Raw genomic sequence first — 20090 nt, 5'->3', positions numbered from 1 at the left:
TTTCTCCCCCCAAATTCTGCTTTGCTCACTACTAAAGTTAATCTTGACATAAAATTTACTTCTTTGATCCACGTCATTTCCCAAAGCAATTTTCTAACAGCAAACATAAATTTCTGGTGATCGCTTGGAGGTTTTCAATCCCTGTGTTAAGGAGGCCGTGGGGTTTCAACTGTTTGCCTCACTTTCAGTTGAATGTCCCCCACTTGGAATGCTATCACCAGAGGACCCTGGGCAGCAACTAAGGACAAAGGCCCAAAAATGGGTTTTGAGGTGTCAACAAAAATAGGGTTGGTAGCGGGGAGATGATTTGAGTATCAAGATCAAACCTTGAAGAGGCAATTAAGTCATTAACTAAGGAGGTAATTGCCTAAGCCCACATATCTGTATTCGCAAATAAGATGAAGCACTAAGTAAATGCAATGCCTTTACCTGGTGCTGAACTTTGAGCAGGTTAATGCAGATTACATTTGTACCCTATCGAAGGTGTGAGTTAAGCACATATCATGAGATGACACTTGTGCTCTTCCCTTTGTCATGTTTGTCAGCCGTTAGGGCTCTAGGGAATGAAAAATGACTGGACTTTGGAATAAAATAGACTTCAATATGAGCCCCAGTTCTACCGAACAACAGCTGTGTGATGCAGAGCAAACGACTCAACCCCTATTAATCTAGAGATGGCTTAAAAATTCGACTTTCAAGGTGTTGGGAGGTTTAGTATTAATATATGCAAAACATTTTGCACATGCTGGGCACATAGTGAGTATTCAGTAAGTGTTATTACTATCGTCAGTATCGTCACCATCAGTGTCATCCTCGTCATCATTACTTTTGGTACCAAGCATATCTATTACCAATGGAGTCCATTTTGACTATACACAGTGAATCTCCTTTACAATGTTATTTGCAATGGAATGAAATTCAGTCTATGGACCTCACTAGATGAATCATATAAAGTAGTATATGTGACAGCAGTTTCTAAGTTTTAAAGTTTGATGAAAACATAAGGTATCACGGGAGGGGGGAAGATGGTAGTCTTTCTGATGTACCCAAAATAACCAAAAGATGCTTAAGTCATTTCTATCATTCTCTCTATTTCCATGCCTTCCCTGTCCTCTCCTTTTCTTTCTACTCAGTAAAATTTTCATGATGACACAATATCCATCTCAAGTTGTAAAGACAGCTATGAGGCTTTTCTTGACGCCCTCAGCTCACCATGGTCCTCCCTCTTACCATCAGAAGGTGTTAGAACAGTCATTGTCCTTAGCAATCAACTCTGGACTGTTCAGGACATCTCTTTTCATTGTTCATATCATTAATTTACTTATGTACCATGTCTATATATTTTGTGTCCTGTTATATACTATTTATGGTCAGGGGACAACTAATTTGTATCAGTTCAATTCAGTTAGTTTCTAGGGACTGAAGATGAATCACAAAGAAGAAAACATAGCCCTCCTCTCAAAGGGTTTACATACCAATACAATGGGTACAACATCCACATACATAATGACAACCAAAGGTAGAATAGGATGAATACTATAACACAGGTGTAGCAAAGTCTTCCAATGATACAGCAAAAGGAAACGGTTTCCTCAATTCAGGGAATGTGTGAGAAGTTTCGTAGGGCTTGATGAAGAAGGTGGACTATACACTGTGTCTAGTTAGGTGGGTGGGATTTGACATGCAGAATGGAAGAAAAGGGTCTCCTAAGAGCACAATCCACGATGTGAAAGAGCATGGAGGCAGCCCAGCAAATGAAAGGGAAACACTGGCTAAGCGCACCAGCAAAATGCTCAACAGCATGTGATGATTTGATATTTTATAAGTAGCTACTTCATCACCAGGACAATCCAGAATCTAATTTTATTCCATTTCAATATGGAATGTATCCTATCTATAACAGGATGAGTTAGTGAGAAAACAACTCACCACTCTTATATCCTTCCCCTACACTCATCATACAAAGAACAGAGTCCAGACTAGTGTTTCCTAAGGCCCTCTGAGGAGAATATCATCTCACGGTGGGGCGGGGGGAAAAGAAGAAAGTACTTGAAGGAGGTTGCTGGACATGCAGACTCCATAGGGGAATGGGTACGGAGGGCTCCTTAGGAGGCTGGGTCATGGCCACCAGTGGGTCTATCCACAGAAGAGACTTCAATAACCAAACACGGCATAAAGCAGCAATTCTGCCTGCATTCAAGGGACCATGTGGACATAGACAATGAGCAGGTAAGTGGAAATCAGGTGGCCTGAAGATCAGAGCACCATTCCTGAGAGTTCTGGACCAATATTAGGCCACCTGGACCACTGCATAATCAAGATGGGTTGGCACTGTAAGAAAATCTTTATGGAAATTGACAGTCAATTTCCCTGGTAAGAGGAAGCATCAAGTGGATTAGATGCAATTTTGAAAAGAAAAAATAAAAAGGCAAGTGAAATGTTTTTACCTTTGTTGTATAGGGAATTTTATATCCGTTACAGTGACTATTATCATACAAGTCATGCCTGTCTAACAACATGTGAATAGCAGTGGCTGAAATGTTGCTGGTATTCTGTATCAATTCATATTTGAAGGCTCATCTGTCAGGAGACCATTTAATTCTACATCAGACTTTGATTATCTGATGAACATCTCTGAAGGGACATTCATTTGCATTCCCACTGGGAGTCCTGGCTTCTCTGAGTTTTATCTATTTATCCAGTGGGCTCACTGGGACAAAATAAAGGGACATTTTGGGAATAATGACTTGGTCCCCAGACTATGACCCTTGTACAAAGACCAGAAGCAAGATGACCATTCACCTCTCCATGGATCCCCTGGAAGAAAACAGAAATCACTCTGAGGTAAGAATGTCAAGACACCCAGGCTTGATCTTAAAGTGTTAGTTGACTGTCATCAGGGATGGACACATTTGAGTATGACACTGACTTTTATTAAGACATTAAAATAATCCAGTGAGAATGTGGGTAGTCCCACCGAATGTATAATGCTTCTTGCTGCCACTGCTGCTGAAGAAAGAGGGCAGAATCTCTTCCTTAGAGAATGAATGAGAATGAAAATTCAATAAGAGAGATACCAGTGTGGTAGATGCTACTGGCAATCTACTCAATTGCCATTCCCCACCTTCTTCATCCATGATGGCAGTCTGCTGCCATGATAAAGGCTAAAATCATCATGGTCTGGTTTTGCCAGTTTCCATGAAGCCAGGTCATGGCTGACCAGCTGGACGGACATCTACTTGGAAACCTCAGAGTAATATTTCACTTCCAGAAAAAAAAAGAAAGTGATGTCTAGAAGAAAGAGCCCCTCCTTTTTGGCCTACAGACAACCTTCCTGATTCTTGCAATGAACAAACACTAGGACTAAGTGAGATAGCAGAGCAGAAAATGGAAAGAGACTCCACTGTGCTCCACAGTCTAGCTGGGGGGATCCACCTCTAGACCTATTGCCATGTGGAGTAATAAACAACTATTATTCAACCATTGGAAAGTGAATTATCTATCTATGCAACCATAATCATCTTAACCAATATGACAAAATTCTAAATGGAGTGGGATAGAGACAGGAATGTGTGGAAAGCTCAAAGGATGAGGCAAATGAATATCCAAGGAGAAAAGGAAAATGACATTTCCCTGGGAACAGGTTCAAATCCTGCCCTGCCTCTATTAGGAATTTGAGGAATTCTCAGAGATGATGCAAAAAAAAATGTGTGATTGAATGTCAGAGATCATGGGAGGGATGGAACTGGTGGATTCATAGTAGAGGAAAAACCCAGTAATGAAGAGAAAACTGCATTGAACCACATTCAATGCTCTTCATTAAGAGCACTGAAGAGGAAACTGGTTTGAACCACTGTGTATCAGGATGGAGAGAGAAAAGGCCACCACTTCTGTCCTTTTTGGGCTCAGTCAAGGGAAGGAAAGGTTGGAAGAACTGCTCTGGATAGGGCTCAGAGCTGAAAACTACAACCAAAATCTTGACAGTTGTTTATCTTACTCCTTTACTGACTACTTTAAAATTGATTGGCCTGAGAAAGTTGGGACTACTTCTGCCTTTGGAGTAGAGTGTTATCTGGTGGTATTTTATCATCCAGAGTTAGGGCCCCTTATCCTCCAAAAAATTAGCTAGTAATTCCATTCAATTGTTAATTCACTATCCTCATCTTTTAAAACATGAAATCTGTATTAAGACATTAAAATAATCCAGTGAGAACTTGTGTAGTCCCGCTAAATGTATAATGCTTCTTGCTGCCACTGCTGCTGAAGAAAGAAGGCAGAATCTCTTCCACTTGGATTGCCATGAATGGGATCATTCTACTCACACTAATTGTTCATGGTCAAGGGAATTGAGATAATACAAGTCAAATACTTGGCATGATGCCTAGAATTAACCATTCAATAATTATTAGTGGTCAGCCCCCTTTTCTTTCCCTCCTCCTTCTCCCTCTCCTCCTATCCCCTTTCTTTCTTATCTCTTCCTTTCCTTACCCTTCTTTTGCCCTCCCATCTTCCATTCTTCCACTCCCTGTATGTTCAGCATATGCAGTGGCTGGAGAACTGCCCTTCTTCCTGCATGACTAGCTGTCCTTCCAGCTCTAAGAGAGCACAGGGGCACTCTTTCCAGCTTCTCTCAGCTGCATTAGGGTGAACCAGAGGCATATCCAACCTGTTATCATCTATTGTAACTCATGAGACATCTTCCCATTGAAATAATGCCAGAAAAATGGGTAAGTCCCTAGCCTATCAAGCAATACTCACTGAAAACTTAAACACATTCAGGTTCTATCTCAGAGGCTGCATTTTTAAATATGAGGTTACTGCCTTTTTATGTAGGTCTCACACACCAATACTATCTTGTTATTTGTCCTTTGATTATTTTTTAAATTTATATTTTAAATTGACATTTAGTAATTGTACAGAAAGGTATTTCAATACATATATACAATTTGTAATGATCGAATCAGTGTAATTAGCATATCCATCACCTCAAACCAGCATTTCCTTAATATTATCAAATATCCAGGTAGTGTTCAAACATCTCTGATATTCTCTCCCCTCCCTGCACCCTGACCTTTAGTTTGTTTGAGTCAAAATCCAAACAGGGTTCATACTCTCATTGGTTGATAATGTCTTTTAAGTGTCTTTCAATCACAACTCATCTCTTTTTCTCCCCTCTTGCAATTTATTTGATGATTAAAACTAGTTATTTGTCCTAAAGAATTACCTATATCCTAAATTTTATTGATTTACATGACTTTTTAAATGTCACCCTCAATCTCCAAAATTCTGCCTTCTTTAATTTAATTCTTATAAGATTGCTTCCCTTTTAAAGAAAAATTGCAACTTGTCATTCCTTTGCTTATTACCTTGAGGATCCACTAGCCCATATTTTGCCTGATTTTGACCAATATCTTCTCCTTTTAATATCCATTATTTACCTATTACTTCTTTCTGAAAAAAAAACTTGAACCATCTGGAGTGCCCTTTAAATCAGGTTTTAAAATGGATACTGGTCTACTCATCTAGAGAAGCTTGCTCAGCTCTAAGATTGCAAGACATAACTAGTAAGCAACAGGTGTTGTTTTGATTAACAATTGTGCCACATGACTACATTTTAAAAGTACATTTCTATTACTGATTAAACACATACATATTTTAAAAGTACATTTCTATTACTGATTAAACACATACATATTTACTATGAGATTATATATCTGAGATTTGCTTTAAAATAATAGGAGAGAGGGAGCAGTGGTTTAGATGTAGTAAGATTGCCCATGGTTGATATTGTTGCAGCTGGATAATACCTATAGGAGAGCTGATTGTATTATTCTATCTACTTCTGTTTAAATTTGAAATTTCACACCATGAGAAGTAAATGTGAGTTGTACTATGTTACCAAAACTAAGTAATGAGACATTTCACTTGAGAGGCCTACATTGTCATATTTTTTGCCAAGGGCCATCAAAAAATCATGTCTAAAGAAAAATGTACTCGCTTTTCTCATTCTACAAATCTGATTTGCCCAAGAAAAGTAAGTTTTAAACTTAAAAAAAAAACAGCAAATAAATAACATTTAAATAACAGGGAAATGGTTTGAAGTGAATGAAAATATAACTCATGTAGATGTGGTTCATAGGTTTTGGGATTTGTCTAAGCTGCCTTTCTTAAGACTCTACTGTGGCAGAACCCATTGGCATTTCCCTGTGACCTATCACTAGCTGATAGAAGACTCCCAGAAGGAAAGAGACAGCAAGATCCACTGGATCACTTCATAAGAAACAGTTGCTAGCATCATTATGAAGGCTGCACTTACATGCTTTTCCTACTACAATGCCGGATCAACATGCAGGTTCTATTATTCCAAGGTGAAAATTAAAAAAAAAAAACTTTCCAAAAACCTATTATCTTCCAACTTTAGCATTACTTCTTTTTATTCCATTCAAATGTTGAAAAGATAAGAGAATTTAATGCATTATATTACACTAACCATATATACTAGAGAATATTTTAAAAACTATATAGCCTTTATCAATAATAATTTTGTATTCACTTATTAGTATTATATTTAAGTAATTTCATTAATAGTAATTTTTAAACTATAATTAACTATACAACTGCAAAATTCATAGTGTTGATTTGTTTCAATATATCTTCTGAAGTTGCATGAATTTAACACCACATATGCAAGTTCTCAGTCAGTCCAGCTGAAGATAATGAAGGGAAAAAAAAGTAAGAACCAAGGGCCCTAAATAGAGAGGGAATAAAGACAGATGCACAGTGAAAGGAGGTGCTTTTGTATGAAGGTTTGGAGGACATAAGGAGAAATTGCCCTTTGACTATACCCACAGACACTAATGTACGCTCTTTAGAAAATAACTTCTTAAAAGCATTTAATGGCCTGTTTCAGTGATTAAATCCCTTATTCTCAAGTTCTCCCCCTTTAAAGCTAACTTGTGCATCCCAGATTAAACCCTCAGAAGCTGACCTTTTTATGAGCTCTAAGGACTTCACCTCCAGAAGTGAGTCACTTCTGCACGCCACAGGCTGCACAGACCTAGTCTTTAAATTTCCAATGACCTCATAACCCTGGCCTGAGCCTTGACAATGCACCACCCTAACAACACAGATCCTGAGCAAGTATCCAGGGACATTTCTGAATATAATTTGTGTGTAGTTAATCTCTGGTCACCCTGGGGATCTCAAATCCCTTCAGATCAATGAAACCAAGAGGCAGCATTTTAGCTAATAGCCAATAGCATTTTATGGCTCTCTTGAGAAGGCAGAGAGAAATGATGGCGTTTCCCTGCAGCATTTCAAAAATAAACCGAGGGGGAAAATCAACTCACCAAAGGAAATAATATTTTGTGTTCACTGAATGCCTTTCAGAAATACTCTCTCCCTTATTGGCAGGAGTATATTCTAAGACCCCCAGTAGATGCCCGAAACAATAGATAGTGTCAAACCCTATATGCATCATGGTTTTTTTTCTTATACAATAACAGGCAGGGAGCATATACAATGTGGATATGCTGGGCAAAAGGGTAATTTATGTCTCAGACAGGACTGAGCAGGACAGTGCAAGATTTCATCATGTTCCTCAGAATAGCATACAATTTAAAACTTATGCGTTGTTTATTTCTGGAATTGTCCATGGAACATTTTTGGACCACCCTTGACTGTGGGTAACAGAAACTGCACAAAGCAAAGCCTTGGATAAGGGTGGATGATTATCTGAGAGTCCTTTGCAGATCTATATCAGGCTGTAAAAAATAAAAGGTGTGTAAGATCAGCGCAAGATTGTATGAGGTCCAAGGTTAGCCATCCCACCCATAAGCTGAGTGCCACTGGCCTGAAATATTTGATTGAAATGTACCATTCTCTAAAGGGCTCAAATCAAGGGTAGGTGCCTATGTTTTTGCTGTATTACCTATCTAAGGCTCCAGAATTTAAGTTGATATGTATAGACCAACTTATGGGTTGACGTCCCCAGGGAAGTGGGTCAACAGTCAGCAGAAGGCAGCAGTTGGCAAAAGAAATAATGAATTATTACTATCAGCACCAGCACATACTCCAGGATTTGAGAAATACCAGAAGATTCTCATTGCTCAAATCCTGGAGTATGTGCTGGTGCCAATAATAATAATTCATTTTTTTGTTTTGTACTTTACAAAGTGCTGCAACCAGCACACAAGATCCTATTTGGTCAGCTCAGCAAAGGGGTAAAGGGACAAAAGGAAAACAAATATTACTTGAAGTCATACAAGGACGGAGGCCCTGACCTTAGCATGTATTGAGCTTTATGTCATTTCCTTCTTACAACAGCACTGTTAGGTGAGTGTTGCTGAACTGGAGAGAAAACTGAGACTCACGGAGGGTGAGGAAATGCACAACATCCCATAGCTAATGCTGTTCTTCCTATTCCAAATTTAACCAATATTGTCATTTTAGAAGAGATATAAATTTTTTTAAAAAAGCCTGATTCCCACCTCAGGGTGAGACAATCACCTATTTTTATCAGGGAAATCTCCCAGGAGCCCAGGCCATGACATAGAAATCTCCATGCATTGACCACTGCCTCTCACTTGGGCAAGGAACATTTCAAGGCTTTCTATGTAATACCATGCAGGGATCATGAAAAGTCCTCTGCCACAGAAATTGACTCTATTGATACAATCTTTTTTGTGGTCAGTATTTCATTCTGCCCATTGGTGGGTGCCATCAAAGCAATAAGCTGAGAGCTGAAGAGCCAGGACAGAAAATGAGTAAGCTTTAAAAGCGAAAAAAATAAATAGTATAATATTGTATAATTGTACAATATCACAACTGGAAGATGCCTTTGAAATCATCAAAACTAATGCCCTCATTAAACAGATGTAAAAGAAAAACGGTTTTTCTATGATCACTTGGAAAATCATAGTGGCAGCACTAGACGCTGTGTCCAGGCCAGTACCAATCCTGGAGAAGACACTCAACGTGTCTTTGCACCATAAAGGAACAAATGAAAGAAATATAACTCTCTAGAACTAGTCTAGTGGCCCTTCTCTCTATTATATCACCAGAGCCTGGAGTGCTGGAAAGGTGGGCTGGCCAGAGCTGCAGGACCTCCTCCAGTTCTCTTGCCCAGATGGCATGAGGCTATCAAGGTCTCTTGCCTCAGGAATGTTTCTCCAGGCTGTCCCTCCTAGTTTCCCTTCATTATTCTGTCTTCTTCATTTCTTCACTTCTCTCTCTCTCTCTCTGTTTCACACACACACACACACACACACACACACACACACACGTAAAAGTCATTAATGTACCAGGGAACAAAACCAAATTCAGTCTCCAATAGAATAATCCATTCTCCACTGGCAATTTTTTTGTAAGAGACAGAGTCTCACTTTGTCACCCAGGCTAGAGTGCAGTGGTACAATGGCTCACTGCAGCCTTAACCCCCTGGGTTCAAGTGATCCTCCTGCCTCAGCTTTCCAAGTAGCTAGAACCCCAGGTGTGCCCAACTGATATATATATATTTTTTTAATTTTTAGTAGAGATGGGGTCTCACTATACTACTCAGGCTAGTCATGAAAACTAGCACCTTTAAAATACTATTTTAGAAAGAGAATTTTAGTCCGAGGCAGACTGCCAGATGAGCCACGCCATTCTTTCTCTCTCCTTTAATCCATGACCTTAGGAGTTGCTGCCCCACAGCAACTCTAGACTTTCTTTCACCAATAGGATGGTAGTAAATATGACACAAATGGATACTTGGAAAACACTTGTGCAGCAGGATATGCCTTCTGGCTGCTCCTGGGAATCCTGCCCCCCTACCATGTGAACTAGCCCAGGCTGACTGGATGATGATAAGAACACTTGTCTGGAATCACAGATGCAGCCAATCAACCACCAGACCATGGGTGAGAACTTCAACCACCAGTAGGTGGCAAATACATGAAAGAGCCCACCCAAGATCAGCAGAACTCTCCAGCTGAGCCTAGCTCAAGTTGCCAGCACATAGAATCATGAGTTATTTTAATTTTAAGATATTAAAATCTGGGAGCTTTTTGTTATTATTTTTTATAGCTAAATCTAACAGACACGGTCCCTTAATAATACATCATATACATCAAATATTTACTATATTTGGGGCGCTGTCTTAAGTGCTTTGCCTACATTACTTCACAGAATTTTTACCATACTCTATGAGGGAATTATTAATATCCCTACTTCATAGAAGAGGAAACTGAGTTTCAAAGTGGTTAATTAATGTATACACCTGGACAACGGCAGGTGTCAAGCCACAATCTCTCTGATGTCACAAAACACACTGTTAACCACTACCCAATCCAGAAAGACAAAATCAATGAATGGGGAACTCAAAACCACATGGACTGAAGGATGGGGGCAAGAATTAGGTTGGCTTAACCCGGGGAAAGTAGACACTCAGAGGCCATGAAATAAACTCTCACTCTTCTAGTAACTGTTTCATGAAGGGCAGAACAGGGCTCTGAGGAGAAATTACCAGAAGGTTGACGTGGTTGATGACAAAGAAGAACCTTCTAGCAGAAGGAGTGATGAAGAATAGAACAGGTCTACTCAAGGGAAAAAGAATTCCCTATAACCAAATATTCAAGTAAGGAAATATAAACCATCCACAAATACCATAAACTTATTCCTGTCTCACATTTTCTCATTTTGTTCCTCTCACCAGAAGGTCCCTATTTTCTCCTTTTAGGATCCAGTTTCTACACATGCTTCAAGGTTTGGTTGAAGTCCATTTTTTTTTTTTTTTTTTTTCAGAAATCCTTCCCTGAGTCTCTCCTTCCCCACTGAGCTCTTTTTCCCTGAACTTGTACTGACAATGTTCATTCTCTCTACCTCTCAATTCATGGTGGGATTCATAGGTAGCTTCAAGATGGTGGCCAGTCATAGAAAGAGCAATCATGCAATCAGAGGATTAAAACTTTGGGCCAGCCCAACCTTCAGGAAGGGAAAAGGGACTAGAGATTAGGACTTAATCAATCCTGCCTATGTAATGAGACCTCAGTAAAAACTCTGAACTCAAGGATCTGTGGAGCTTCCTGACTGACAAACACATTGATCTGCTGAAAGAATGATGTGGCCAGATTCCACAGTGAGAATACAGAAAAGCTTTTCACCCCCACCCCTCCCTGACCTTGTCCTACACAGTTTCCCCATTTGGTTGTTCCTGAGGTATACCTTTTATAAGGAATCTATAATCTTAAATTTAGCTTTTTCTGTGAATTCTGTGAATTATTCTAGTAAATTTTTGAACCAAGGAAGTTGTCAGAACCTCCAAATTTTTCTTCAGTTTGTCAGAAGCTTGGGTGGCCCTGAGACCTACAACTGTCCCCTCTAGAGAGGTGTCTAAAGTAGCAATAGTCTTGTAAAGGACTTTGTCTTCAACCTGTGGGGTCTGGGCTAACTTTGTGATGTGGTTTGGATATTTGTCCTCTCTAAATCTCATGTTGAAATTTGATCCCCAATTTTGGAGTCTGGGCCTAACTGGGGGTGTTTGGGTCATGGGGGTGGATCCCTTATGAATGGGTTGGTGCCATTCTCATGGAATTGAGTGAGTTCTCATTCTTAGTTCCTGTGAGATCTGGTTGTTAAAAAGAGTCTGGCACATCCCTCCTCCTCCTCCTCTTCTTCTTCTTCCTCCTCCTCCTCCTCCTTCTCCTCCTCTCTTTCTCTCATTTCCTTCCCCTTGCCATGTGATGCCTTCTCTCCTTCATCTTCTGCTATTAGTGAAAGTACATTGAAGCCTTCATCAGAAGCAGGTGCTGGCACCATGCTTCTTATAGAGTCTGCAGAATCATAAGCCAAATAAACCTCTTTTCTTTATATATTCCCCAGCCTCAGGTATTTCCTTTATAGCAACGCAAATGGACAAAGACACTCTAGGTAGTGTCAGAACTGGGTTACAGTCCATACTATTGAGGTAGAGATGAAGCAGCTTGGAATTTGTATCCAGCCGGGCAGAAATCCAAGTGGCTTGAGGACAAACACCCAAAACTTATGTCTGGCATCTGAAGTGGGGACACTCTTGTGAAGGACTTTGCTTTTATCTGTGGGGTGTGTGCTAACTTCAGGTAGTTAGTTTCAGAACTACTCAATAGTTCTGAATTGTGGAATATCCAGTTCATATGGAATGACTGATGTCAGAACCTAAAACCAAATAATCAATCACTTATTGAATATCCGACTATCTCTTCCTGTATCAGAAAAATAATTCCAACAAGTTATATTAAATATATATGCACTTAGAGTAGCTTTCTTTAAATTCCCAACATTAATTGCCTAAATTATTTCCCTCCATTATAAAGTTGATATTTAGCATCCCAAAGGATGTCATTGATGGGAATAAAAAAAAATCTCCTAATGAAATTCACAACAAGGAAAATATTATGACATATAACTTAAAGTATCAGTTATTAATTTTAAAAAAGAGAGAAAATAATATGTCATTAAGTAAATTCTGATATTTTTACAACATGCCATAATATACACCATGCATTTTCTTTAAGCAATTAGTTTTGCTTGAGTGCTAAACTACAATTTAGATTATTTTTCCGTTTGGAAGTTTACACACATTTATTCTCTCTCTCTCTCTCTTTCTCTCTCTCTCTGAAAAATTCTTAAGAGTGACAGAATAATATTCTCTGTAATTTCCTGAGATAATGTTACTGGGGTAAATGAAGTGTCAGGTTCCACACTAATTCATCACTTATTAATTAACAATATCAACAACTCCTTTTTCATTACTGATAACACATTTTAGTGACTACCAGAAGGATTCTTTATTACAAAACTTATCTCAAAGGCTCTTTCCTGTTATCTACTGCAATAATAAAAAAATCATCATTCAATCATCATTTTAATGACTGATCATTTTTCCTCTCACTAAAATTAAATCATAAAAGCCATTTAATTAAATCAAATGGTAATTGAATGACTTTAATCATGCAAAGAATTAAAATGAAGAATGCTTTTTCTCAAAGCCTGACAACATGTAATGACATGGTTTGACCAATGTGGGAGATCCTGAGAGTAAGCAGGTTGATGATTGCCTTGCCTTTTGGTATGATCAACAAAAGAGCTACTGTTAGACATTTTGTTCTCTCTAGTTTTGGAACAGGGTTCAACTAACACATCTTCATGTGACCAAGAGGTCACGGGGGTTTGACTTAAGGGAGGTTATTATGAAGAACAAAGAAAAACAAAACCAATATCTCCAGAGAACTATATGTAAAGGAGCAATAATAAATTTCTCTGAACTTTACAAACTAAATTATCTAATGTGACTTAATAATCATCTAATTATTACATACCTTCTATATGCTATAATTGATGGTGGAGATACACAAATGCTCTATCTTCTGAGGGTGACAGATAAGTCAACAAATCATTATGGTATGATAAGGTCAGTCGCAACAAAGGTATGTGCAAGGCATTACGAAATCCTAGAAGAGGGACCAGTAAATGCCTTCAAGAGAAATGAAGAAAATTCTCCAAAGAGCTGACATGTAAGTTGAGTTGTGAGAGCTGAGAACTTCTCCAGGCAATGGAGGTGATTCTAGAGAGTGGGAAAAAACAAGAACAATATGAAAATGTGCAGAAGCTCAGTGTAGCTAGCCTGTAGAAAGGACAGAAGGAAAACAAGCATGGGAAAACAGGGGGAGGTGGAGTTTATTCCCAGTAGGGAAAAATGCTAATTGAGAAGCTAGACAATAATACGGCTTGATTAGTTCTTTAGGAAGATATTTCTGGAAGCAATGTTATAAGGGTCTTCGAATTGAGACTACAGCATAGAGCAGAAGAGAAGAATAGAAGCAGAGAAGAGTGGCAGAAAGATCAGTTGTCATAATACACTGTGTATATGATCCCCACAGCCCAGAGCGAACTGGGCTTTTAATTATCTTAATGTCTTCCCAGATCCTGGGAATAACGTGGGAGCTCCAGCACGAAGACTATTGCTATACGGAGTATTACTTTCATAGCGAGATGATAAACAAATACTTCTAGAGTCTGATTTTGCAAAAGGACAGTCTCTGGCTGAATTATAAAGCATCCCCAATACGTCTTCAGACAACCAAAGGCCTCATAATGACCTGCCTATCCAACTGTTCCCTATTGTCTCGGCCTTTTTCATCTCCTGCTACCACACTCTGAATATTCTGCAAAATGTGACCCTGACATTACAGCTACCCTGTCCTATGTCCATTCTTTTAAGACTGCTATTTCCAAATAAGTGTCTAACTCCAAAAGCAATTTGTTTAAAAACTGTTGCTGATGTATTCATTCGACAAATATTTATGGAGCACTTTCCATGTGCCAGGCACTAAGCACTGGGATACAGTAATAACCAGAATAAGCAAGAGCCACAACACATCTCGCATCTCCACAGAGCTTTCATTCTAGTGGGAGAGAAATGCAATAACAAGATAAACAGGGGAAAGGTAGAGTGTTTACAAAGACACAGGCCAGGCAGAAAAAAGGTAGCATAAGAAAGAGGGAGTAGAGGAGGACTGCAATTGCTGAGGTTGAGACATCTGAACGGAACTTTGAAGGAACCAAAGAAGCAAAGCAAACAGATACCTATTGCAAGCAGAGGAGACTATTGCAAAGCTCCTGAGGCAGGAGTGTGTCTGTGATACAGTGAGAGATTTGCAAGGGGGCCAGTGTGGCAGGAGAAGGGTGATGGGGAGGCACTGCAGGAGATAAACTCAGAGAAGCAGAATGGAGAGGAGTGGAGCTGGCCTTACAGGTCATTGTTAGGGCTTGACATGAGTGAAATGGCAGTCATTTAAGGGCTTTAAGTGACATCTCAGATTTAGATTTAAACATGATCCAATCAAAATGCTGTGTGGGGAGTAAACTGAAAGGGCAATGGTGAAAATGGAGAGAGACTGAGGCTACTACGATATTTCAGGTGAGAAATGATGGTGTCCTGGACCAGCTTGTTAGCAAAGGATGTGGTAGGAAATGGACAGATTCAGCTTATATTTTGAAGGTAAAGCTGACAACACTTATTGTTGGATTGGATTTGGAATGTAAGAAAAATCGATTCCATGATTTTTGGCTTGAGTAACCAAAAGGGTGAAGTTGTCAGGTTTCAACCTTCTTCTCCCCTCTCCACCCAGTGCAAGATTTATGGTTAAAAATTTTAAAAATAATAAAATAAAATAAAACAGTGACTGCATTTTGATCCTACTGCTTTCCTCCTTCCTTCTCTCCTTCTGCCAGGCGTGTGAGTACAGGGAACAAATGCCACCTATATGTTCTAAATTTAGGTACAACAGAAAGGCTTTCCCAACAGAATAATCTTTATAAACCACCTTTCACGCACGCCCAAAGTTCTACCAACAGAGATTCATTTGGGGGATCAAAGAAGAGTTTGGTCTTTCAGATTTTCTAATCAAAATTATGCCTTCAGAAAGATAAACTTTGACCCTACTTTTTCAAGCAAATATCTTGGCAAAATAGTTGTCTCGCAGCTTGGGTTGCTAGATTTAATAAACACAAATACAGAATGACCAGTTTCAGATAAAAGATAAATTATTTTTAGCATAAGTAGGTCTCAAATATTGCATGGGACATACTTATACTAAAATATAATAAACAACTATCTGAAATTAAAATTTAACTAGGTGTCCTGTATTTTTTCTGACAGCTCTATTTGTAGGTGAAAATATATGGAGTTGTTCTCAGCTATGCTAGAGATGAAGAAGGGGCATAAAAAAGTAGGGGAGAAGAGAGAGAATGTAGTTTTCCCTGTTTCCCTCTTTTCCCTGGGTCTGACTGCTAATCTGAAGGTTCTTTAGAGCCAATGGTTCTAAAAGTGAAATGTGCAAACACCACTGATGGTCCTTAGAGGAAATAAACATAGAAAGATTTAAATAAAACTTTCAGCCTTTGGAAATCACATTTTGAAAATGTAGCCAACTCTGTAATTAAGTTCCAAATTATTTGGTATAGTCGGTTTGGCTAACAGATGGAACGGTATTTTTGTTCCTCCTTCATCCCCGGAGTGAGTTTCCAGAAATCCTGAGTGGGGCATTTCTAGATTATTGCCTGAGTGACAGTTACAAGTGTCTAATAATTTACTAGAATCAATGGATTTCTTTAAACGAATTTAGTGAACTGTTATTTATGTAGATATGAATAATACATTTATAAGGGGAAAAGAAGCAGTTGAAAAGTACTTTCTAAAATGATGTATTGCAGTAATCATAAGTAATTATACAGCCACATACTACTTGCTGATAGGATTTAAGAAGCTCTGTTTCAAAAAGTGTTTCCTCCTATGGTCCACTGTGATTCATATTCCAGTGGAATCCAACCTAACCGGGGTGGCCTTCCACCTACAAGGCAGAAAGCACTCACTAAAAGACTCTCTTATGGATCAGTCTGATATGAAACAATGGCCAGATGAAATCCTCTAAGGCTTTAAATTGTCTTGTTTTAATATGATCCTTATATGGAATTTTCTCCCAGATATATTTTTAGTGTTTACCATATATGCCTGTGTTATTTATCACTAGAGGCAGCCCTCTGAAGTATTTCTTATATCCACTGTCATGAAAAAGTACAGTAAGACTGAGGATAGGCTGGGCACGGTGGCTCACACCTGTAATCCCAGCACTTTGGGAGGCCGAGGCAGGTAGATCACGAGGTCAGGAGATCGAGACCATCCTGGCTAACACGGTGAAACCCCGTCTCTACTAAAAATATAAAAAAATTAGCCTGGCGTGGTGGCTTGCGCCTGTAGTCCCAGCTACTCGGGAGGCTGAGGCAGGAGAATGGCGTGAACACGGGAGGTGGAGCTTGCAGTGAGCCGAGATCGCGCCACTGCACTCCAGCCTGAGCTAAAGAGCGAGACTCCATCTCAGAAAAAAAAAAAAAAAAGACTGAGGATAAAGAAGCTTGGTCAATGTGGTATAATTTGTGACTGGAAGACTGGAAGATCCTTCTTCTTACCCACCATATTATGTTAATGGAGCTAGCCAACTGGGCACATTGCACACTCTCAGTGTAAACATACACATACATACCCCAACCTAATATCACTATCACCACCACTACATATGTTACAAATATATTTCTCAGTCTTATATGACCCAAGGGGGGGATAAAGACAGACTCTCTTTATTGCTATTAGATATAAACTTATTTTTCCTAGATTTGTGTCTTGGCACCACATTGAAACTTTCTGTCATTTCACTAACAGCAAAATAGTCCACATCTGCTAGAGGGGCATCTCACATTACAGGATTGGGATTGAGAAATTGCAGGTCAAACTGATCTTGTGTCTTCTTGGGGGTGGGGACCTTATATGATCAAAGATAACTTTTCTTGGCAGTAGCTGCCAATTGTGTTTCTTTGCCATCCACTTACCCATTCACACTTACTCTCAAATTGCCAGTCCCATAAACAATCATCTGAATATACCAGGGTGGCTAGCATTTAATTATTAAATATTTTAATAAGCAGAATGAATTGTTATTGTAAATAACCTCTCCAAACTTTGTTCAATTTATTATAAATTATATTTTCTTTAAAAATCTTCTTCTGAAGTCTCAGACATGTTTACCTGATAGGTGTTGAACTGCCTATGACTGGTATTACTGAGTTGAAAATGATATCACTCAAAAAATTATAGTACTACCTCTGGTATGCCAATTTTTGTCAGACTCAGAAACAGTGATTTGAAGAGACTATCATATAGTGAGAACACAAACCATAAAGGGCTCTATGAAGACATCAGGTAAACTTTCACTGAATTGTGTCTAAAAATTTTTCTTCCTTAAATTAAGACTGTGGTTTGGGTTTGAACCAGTTATTTTGAATGCTGTAGGTCCATAATCTATCACACTTAAGACAATGAGTTCCCTGCTGAGTAAGAGCAATGGTTAAGCTCTGCACCCCATCAGTGGCAAAGAAAGCCTTTTAGTACATCAAGAAACCTCTAAGGCTTGTCTTTTCCATCTTCATAGGCTGTTTTTAAGTTACAAAATATTGGAAAGAAATTGGGAAAAAAATCCCTAAAAAAATAGAGGATTTAGTACAGTTTGGGCTGAGCAAAGAAAACGGAGGAATCACAAACTCAGGTACCCACAGGGGCTAAGCAGGAAGCATAAATGAGTGCATAGGGTAAAGTGTATCATTATGGAATGGGGGAGCCTGTGGCTAAGGGACAACATCTTTCTCATCGGAACGAATTCACCTTCATATGTAAATACAAATTATATTAGCCAAATAAACACACCTGGATTTGGCCTGCTTACAGTCAGTTTTACAACTCCTGGTTTATGGCGCTGATTATAGCCTCTTGTTTACAGCCCCTGGTTTATTAGGTGAGACTCCTGCTAGGTTGGCCAGAGCTGCTTAGGTTGCTGGCAGCTTTTCTCAAATGGCGCTCATAACACTTTAAGAAAACGCTAGAGGTGTTTCTATTTCAACTCAATATAAAAAATAATTCATAAATAACACAGTTATTTAGTTTTAAAATGTTTTAATTGTAATATATTAGTACTAAGAAAATGAGTGGGAAGACTACTCATATTTGCCATATTATCTGATGGAAAATAGTACTCAGAATTTTCTGTTTTAAGCAGAAGGACCACTTAATAGCATTCAGATTGTATAGTTCTTATATGTAAACATGTTTCTGATATTGAAAAAAAATTCATAGTTGAATCTGCTGGGCTTGGGATTGATAGAAACATATAACAGCATTTTTTTTTCTGAATGATATAGGACAATACTAACACTTTCTTCAGGAATATCTAAATTGCAAGAGCACCGATGAATTAAAATTAAGGTATCCTTTTGCATCAGTCTGTTCTCACATTGCTATAAGGATATACCCGAGACTTACAAAGAAAAGAGGTTTAATTGACTCACAGTTCTGAAGGGCTGGGGAGGCCTCAAGAAACTTATGATCATGGTGGAAGGCGAAGCAAACACGTCCTTCTTCACAAGGCATCAGGAGAGAGAAGAATGATTGCTGAGCAAAGGGGGAAGCCCCTTATAAAACCATCCAATCTTGTGAGCATTTACTATCACGAGAATAGCAAGGGGGAAACCACCTCTGTGATGCAATTACCTCCCACAAGACCCCTGCCACCACACGTGGGGATTATGGGAACTACCATTCAAGATGAGATTTGGGTGGGAACACAGCCAAACTATATCACCTTTTAATATAAAAATTCAAGTTGTAACACAACAAATGGGATGATACAATTTGTTAAGCCTTGACTTTATGTTATGGTCATGAAAACTTGCTTGCTTTCTTGAGCAGACAGCTATTTCTTTGACTACTGCATTGAAATACATAGATCTCTTCTCACTTGCATGAACTTTGCTACTTTTAAGAGGTTTTTGAAAAGTTATCATTTTCAGAAAAGGGTTGCAGGAGAGTATGGAGCCCCCAGCACTTCCAGCATCCTGACTGATTCTGGGTGTGTTTATCAGTTTCTGGCCTTGGACTATATAGTGGTCACCTGTTTCTATAAAAACCTTGGAAAAAATGAATTTTTCCTTTTATTGTAATGTTGTGGTCTCCTCAGAGTCGTCATATGTATCCCATACCAATGATTCAGAGCACCATAAATACACCTAATAGGACTGAACTAAATTAAATCTTTCTTTGATGATTTACAAGGCAGCTTGAGATTATTCTTGGGGGATATAAATTTTCATTATATAGGAGCTGAGGTAGTAAAGTTATGTGTGAGAAAGACTAAATGTTGTCTGAGATTTATCTTTCAAGAATTTCTGGTCTCAGTTTTCTTGTCATTTGTCTCCAAATGAAAAATGAGGGCTCTAATTAGAGGGTTACTCCTAAATGAAAACCAATAAGGAAAACTAAAAAAGAATATGGTCTGTGAACTTGGGCAATCATTTAACTTCTCTGTAATATGGTTTTGTCACCTGTAAAATAGAGATGTCCTGTGGATATCAAATGAAATAAAAATAGATGTAGGACAGGTTTGCAAATTTCAAAACACTACAAAAGGAAGCAGAGACCTCTTTAGGTCTGATAGCACTCTACACCCGTCCAGCCGGTACCCACCCCCTTT

At 38.8% G+C, this 20090-nt stretch overlaps 1 protein-coding gene across 11 annotated transcripts in view; it reads right to left on the bottom strand.

Moving 5' to 3' along the window:
• CTNNA2 (catenin alpha 2) overlaps positions 1–20090 on the bottom strand; it is a 1463404-nt gene that overhangs the window by 360448 nt on the left and 1082866 nt on the right. The window lies entirely within an intron of this gene.

This window comes from Homo sapiens, chromosome 2, assembly GCF_000001405.40.
Source record: "Homo sapiens chromosome 2, GRCh38.p14 Primary Assembly".
Taxonomy (NCBI): Eukaryota; Metazoa; Chordata; class Mammalia; order Primates; family Hominidae; genus Homo; species Homo sapiens.
The sequence above is the reverse complement of the archived record's forward strand: the minus strand, read 5'-3'. Positions and strand labels throughout refer to the sequence as shown.